This window comes from Homo sapiens, chromosome 1 (genome assembly GCF_000001405.40).
Source record: "Homo sapiens chromosome 1, GRCh38.p14 Primary Assembly".
Lineage (NCBI taxonomy): Eukaryota > Metazoa > Chordata > Mammalia > Primates > Hominidae > Homo > Homo sapiens.
Window position 1 is genome coordinate 144,565,242 of NC_000001.11, and position 6,000 is coordinate 144,571,241.

At 48.4% G+C, this 6,000-nt stretch overlaps 1 non-coding gene and 1 pseudogene across 1 annotated transcript; both read right to left on the minus strand.

Annotated features, from left to right (window-relative positions):
• Positions 1–2,273: 2,273 nt before the first annotated feature.
• On the minus strand, positions 2,274–2,347 carry TRN-GTT2-8 (tRNA-Asn (anticodon GTT) 2-8). The gene has a single exon. It is a non-coding gene; the product is annotated as a tRNA-Asn (tRNA).
• Positions 2,348–2,371: 24 nt separating this feature from the next.
• On the minus strand, positions 2,372–5,231 carry LOC107985110 (uncharacterized; annotated as a pseudogene).
• Between the last annotated feature and the right edge of the window lie 769 nt (positions 5,232–6,000).

A 6,000-nucleotide genomic window follows, 5' to 3' on the forward strand; every position in this document is an offset into this window, starting at 1 on the left:
TAATCAGCTCATTAAAGCTCATGCATACAGACTGCATATCATGCATGTACTTAAAATTATGGGATGGAAGCAGCATTCAAGCACACAAGGGCCAAAGTAACTAAGCAACCCACCTATCAATCAAAAGGCAAAGAGTGGCTAAAGATTAGGCATCCTTGGCCGGGCACAGTGGCTCACGCCTGTAATCCCAGCACTTTGCGAGACCAAGGCGGGCGGATCGTGAGGTCGGGAGATCGAGACCATCCTGGCTAACACGGTGAAACCACGTCTCTACTAAAAATACAAAAAAATTAGTCGGGCGTGGTGGCAGGCGCCTGTAGTCCCAGCTGCTGGGGAGGCTGAGGCAGGAGAATGGCATGAACCCGTGAGGCAGAGCTTGCAGTGAGCCAGGATCGTGCCACTGCACTCCAGCCTGGGTGACAGAGCGAGACTCCGCCTCATCAAACAAACAAACAAACAAACAAACAAACAAACAAACACAGTAGGCATCCTTGTGAAGAGAAGGAAAAACACACACACAAACACAAAAGACCCCAAGTACACCAAACTAATACTGATCTCATCTCCCAGAGGTCAGCCCACCCTCCCCACTCTGAGAGTGTTACTGTGCTTAATAAACTTTTGCTTTGCTTTGCTGCTTTGTGTGTGTCATGTACAGTTCTTTGTTTGGGACACCAAGAGCCTGGAACTGCACGGCACCAGCTGGTAAGAATTAGGCTTTTTTGGCCGGGCGCGGTGGCTTATGCCTGTAATCCCAGCACTTTGCGAGGCCAAGGCGGGCGGATCACGAGGTCAGGAAATCGAGACCATCCTGGCTAACACGGTAGAACCCCATCTCTACTAAAAATAAAAAAAATTAGCCGGGCGTGGTGGCGGGCGCCTGTAGTCCCAGCTACTCGGGAGGCTGAGGCAGGAGAATGGCCTGAACCCGGGAGGCGGAGCTTGCAGTGAGCCGAGATCGCGCCACTGCACTCCAGCCTGGGCAACAGAGAGAGACTCCGTCTCAAAAAAAAAAAAAAAAAAAAAAAGAATTAGGCTTTTTTTTTCCCTAAGGGTTAACAACAAACCAGCCCTTTGGAAAGACTTGCTTCACCACTGTTACCAACCAACGGCCTGATGCTTTTCCTCAGTTTTGTGATGTTGACAAAACAAGCAAGCAGCATTCCCTCCTGATAAGAGACCACCGACCTAGGAATGATTCTGGCCAGACTAGAGAGGATGCACAGTGAGGGTTTTCATGTCCTCTGCTTCAGCTTTTGATGTCAGAGGGCCACAATCTCCACTCTCAGATGATTGCTAATGCCACCATTTTATGAACATGGGCCCCATGGAGAGGCACGAAGCTCAATTGCACTTCTGCACATTTTTCCTCCTATAAATATTGCTATTGGAATATTATTTGGTACGGCTCCCGTGAAAGATACATTTGCAGAATGTACTCAAATTAGAAGCATCATGTAAACCCTATAATGTAGCAATAGTGCATCAACTTCCCTACACTATAGAAATATCTGCGGTGTAGACATTTCCACAATGACCAAAGACATGTGTACAAGAAAGGTGGCTGCAGCATTCTTTGTAATCCTAAAACAATGAAACCTACCTCATCTCAAAAACTTTATTTTTTTATTTTTATTTTTTTTTTGAGATGGAGTCTCGCTCTGTTGCCCAGGCGGGAGTGTAGTGGTGCAGCCTCCACTGGTGCAGCCTCCACTGCAGCCTCCACCTCCCAGGTTCAAATGATTCTCCTGCCTCAGAATCCCAAGTACCTGGGATTACAGGCACATGCCCCCATGCCTGGCTAACAAAAACATTTTGAAAAGGGTTAAATAAATCATGCACAAACTGAGGAAAAATACTCTTTTTCAAAAATGATGGAGAGGATCACTATGATGATGAATGATTCCACTGGTCACATTATTGATAGAGCAATCAGTAAATCCAGGCACATCCTCGGGATATTACTGACCTCCTATTATTAACATATGAAAAAATGAAGGCATGTAAATTACTCGTTTAAGCGTATAACGGACTGAATTAGAATTTTATCACACCAGAAGTGGGTTCCTAGGTCTCTGTTTCAGGATTCCTGAGTTACACACGTATAAACCCAGGATTTCAGGAGATACCCGGTTAAGAATCCGGTTGGGGAGGTGGGCTGGCCCTTGACATGGATAAGTCACAAATTAGTGGCTTAGGACTCCAGGAAGATAAAATCTTCCCCATTTATCTAGTGATTGACAATGCATGAATACTTTAAAAGCTCAAACAAGCGTCCCTGGGTGGGCTCGAACCACCAACCTTTCGGTTAACAGCCGAACGCGCTAACCGATTGCGCCACAGAGACAGGTACTGTCAGTTCTACTGGGCGCTATAGGAAGGGCGCACGCACGAAACTTCCTCCGTCCCTTGCATCCTCAGGGCCCGCCCGGCAGGACGACTGAGCAGGCCTTGGAAGACCGGAGAGATTGGAGCGGTAAGTCGCGCTGGTCACGTTGGACACCTGCGCGTTGGGAGATTCTGGAGCCAGAAGGATAGCCGAATGGCCTTCGCCCGCCCTGCCCCTCACCTGCTTCAGAAACCCCCGGAAACGCCCCGGTTGAGACCCCGGCCCGAACCGCCTGGGGGCCCTAGGGAGGCTGAACGCCCGGTGGCTCCCGGGATGGCTCTTCCCGTTCTTTGCGCCGCCTTCACCCAGTGAGGGAGCCTGTGCCCTCCCTGCCCAGTCGCTTTTGGGGCCGCTGCGGATCTTCCGCTGCCATCTTCGGATCCTGTGTTCCGCACGGGGGCTCCACCAGGGCAGGGATCGTGGTGAGGGTGGCTCGTGGGTCCCCCTCGCGGGGAGCAGGGTCTGGCACTCACCAGGGCGCAGGACTAGGACTTGTCGAATGAATCCATCCTTTTAGCTTTTAGTCCTTTGAAGAGCCTTGAGAAGAAATCATGAGAGATTTTTCCATGGGGAAGTTCCTTTTACAAAGCATTTATTTACGTGGACTTCTTGGCACCCCGCGGGGCGGCAACGGGCAGGGCCTCCAGTGCCCCTTCTGCGCCGTGGAGCCGCGGGGGCTCAGCTGGGCGGTGGTCGGGTCCTGAGGCCGGAGGGCGGGAGCAGGGGAGGGGAAAAGCAAAAGCGGGGAAAGAAGCCGGGGAGCGGTGGACCAGACGTCCAGACCTCCTGAAAGGCTGGCGGGGAGGCACAGGCGGGATCTTCCGGAGGTGAGAATTTTTTTTTATTATAGCAGAATGGGGAGGAATTGAGGGGAAAATGGAGATAGAACCTGAAAGAGCCCCAAACGCCAGAACCTGTAGCTCCCCAAGAATAAGATCTTCCAGAAGAACTAGACCCAAAACTAGCCGTTGGGGAACACCGAAATCCTTGGAGGAGCAACATCCGCATGACCCTCTGTGTTCCTTTAGGCAAAAGGACTTGCTTCCATTGTTTGTTCAATTGTTTGTGTTTGTTAAATAAATAAAACGATTTTCATGTATCTTTGAAATTACTTTGGCGCTACTATTTTATGATTGCAAATAATTCGGCAGTGATCATTCTTGTACACTTCTCATTGGCCATTTGTGTATTTCTATACGGTAGAGGCCTGGAGAGCAGTTGCTCCAGCATAGGGATTACACAGTTTTTGTTTGTTTGTTTGTTTGTTTATTTATTTATTTATTTATTTATTTTTGAGACAGAGTCTCGCTCTGTCACCCAGGCTGGAGTGCAGTGGCGCCATCTCAGCTCTCACTGCAACCTCCGCCTCCCGGGTTCAAGCGAATCTCCTGCTTCAGCCTCCCAAGTAGCTGAGATTACAGGTCCGCGCGAGCCACCACATCGGGCTAATTTTTGTATTTTTAGTAGAGACGGGGTTTCATCGTTTTGGCCAGGCCGGTCTCAAACTCCTGACCTCAAGTGATCTGCCTGCCTTGGCCTCTCAAAGTGCTGGGATTACAGGCATGAGCCACCGCACCCAGCGATTACATGTTTTTTTTTTATATATCATTCTATTTTCTTTCCTTATTTGGCTTATTAGCTGTAACTCTTTCTTTTGTTATGTCAGTGATGGCTTTAGGGTCCCTAGAATACATCTTTATCCGTCTGCCATCAAGTGACATTATACCTCCCCTTCTGGCCTTTATGTTAGTGTTGTCAGGGAATTTGATTTTGGACATGTTATAAACCCCAACATCCAAGTACGTACATAGCGATTTTCAGTCGTCTCCATTTCTTTGTGTAGGTTCAGATTTCTGTTTGGTATCCTTATCCTTAGGCCTGGAGGACTCCTTTAATATTTCTTGTAGTGTGGTTCGGTGAATTCTGTCATTTTTTTGTATGTCTTTAAATGTCCTGATTTCAGTCACATTTTTGAAAGATATTTCAATTTGGCATAGAATTCTAGAATAACTTTTTTTCTCTCAGTACTTTAGGATGTTGCCACTTTGACGCTTTGTCATTGACATATCTTTCCTGTTTTTGTAAACTTGGCATAAAGTGGGTTTCCTGTACTTGTTATATGATTTTTGGATTGTGTATTCAAATTAAAAGTATTAAATTAAAATTAAAATGGCCTGGGCGAGGTGGCTCACACCTGTAATCCCAGCACTTTGGGAAGGGGAGGCAGAGGATCGCTTGAGACCCAGAGTTGGAGACCACCCTGGGCAAGATAGCAAGACCCTGTGTGTGTGTGTGTGTGTGTGTGTGTGTGTGTGTGTGTGTGTGTGTGTGTGTATACACATAAATATGTATATATATTATATGTATGTATGTATATATAAGTCCTACAGTCACCTTAAGTTCCACCAACAGTGCACTTAAAGTAAAATGTGCCCAACCTGAGGCTCAAACCTACCTGCTGGCACGCAATTTGTGTTTGTGAGACAATCTCAACAGCATTTGCTTTTTCTAGCGTAGTGGTTTTCCTGTTTTCCTCACATGTGAATGTCTTCAGTGCAAAACCTGTCAGAATTCATTTCCTTTGCTAAAATGTTTTAAAATAACTCTTACTTCAAGTAAGTGCATTAAAAACAAACTTCTCAGTTGCATCCCTGGAATCCATGGAAAGTCCAGGAGAGACAATCAAGTGCTACAGGATCAAGCCCAAACAGAACAGGACTAGGCATGGCTTCCTCACTAGGAGTCAGGCCAAAGTCATCTCCTTTGGTCTCCAATGGAGGCCAGAACTCGGTTCACCTGCAACGGGAGGACCTGGCCCAGAAGAGGTGGCCTTCATCTTCATGGTGCCTTCAGATAGGAAATCTAGGATTTCTTTTCTTCTCTTTGATCTACTTCCAACTCTCCCTTTTTATTTATTTATTTATTTATTTATTTATTTATTTATTTATTTATTTGAGACAGAGTCTTGCTGTGTTGCCCAGGCTAGAGTGCAGCGGGGCAGTCTCAGCTCACTGCAACCTCCGCCTCCTGGGTTCTAGAGATTCTCCTGCCTCAGCCTCCTGAGTAGCTGGGATTACAGGCGCCCGTCACCGCGCCCAGCTACTTGTATTTTTAGTAGAGACAGGGTTTCACCATCTTGGCCAGGCTGGTCTCGAACTCGTGACCTCGTGATCCACCCACCTCGGCCTCCCAAAGTGCTGGGATTACAGGCGTGAGCCACCGCATCTGGCCCTCCCTTTCTATTTCTTCAAGACCTTTTTCGGATCCCTCCTGCGCAGGACCTAAACGGGCGGTGCCCTTACCCACTGGTCCCTCCCTGCCTGCTGTCTTCGGAGCCCTAGCTCACCCGGAACGTTACTGCCCGCCGGTGACAGCGAGAGGACCAAAGAGGGCAGCGGGTGCGGTGGGAACCACAGAGTCACCGCGCACCTGCGCCTCGCGGGCTCCTCGCAAATTGAATAAACGCCCCCTGAAGCTTCTCTTCAAGTCACAGGGAAGGGGAAGGTGGCTGCCGACCCGGCGGGAGAAGCCGGCCCTGCCCCTGGTCCTTGAAGACAGGTTTGGCCAGGCTGATTTTGACTGGTAGGCTCAAAGAAAAGCCTCAAGGGCAG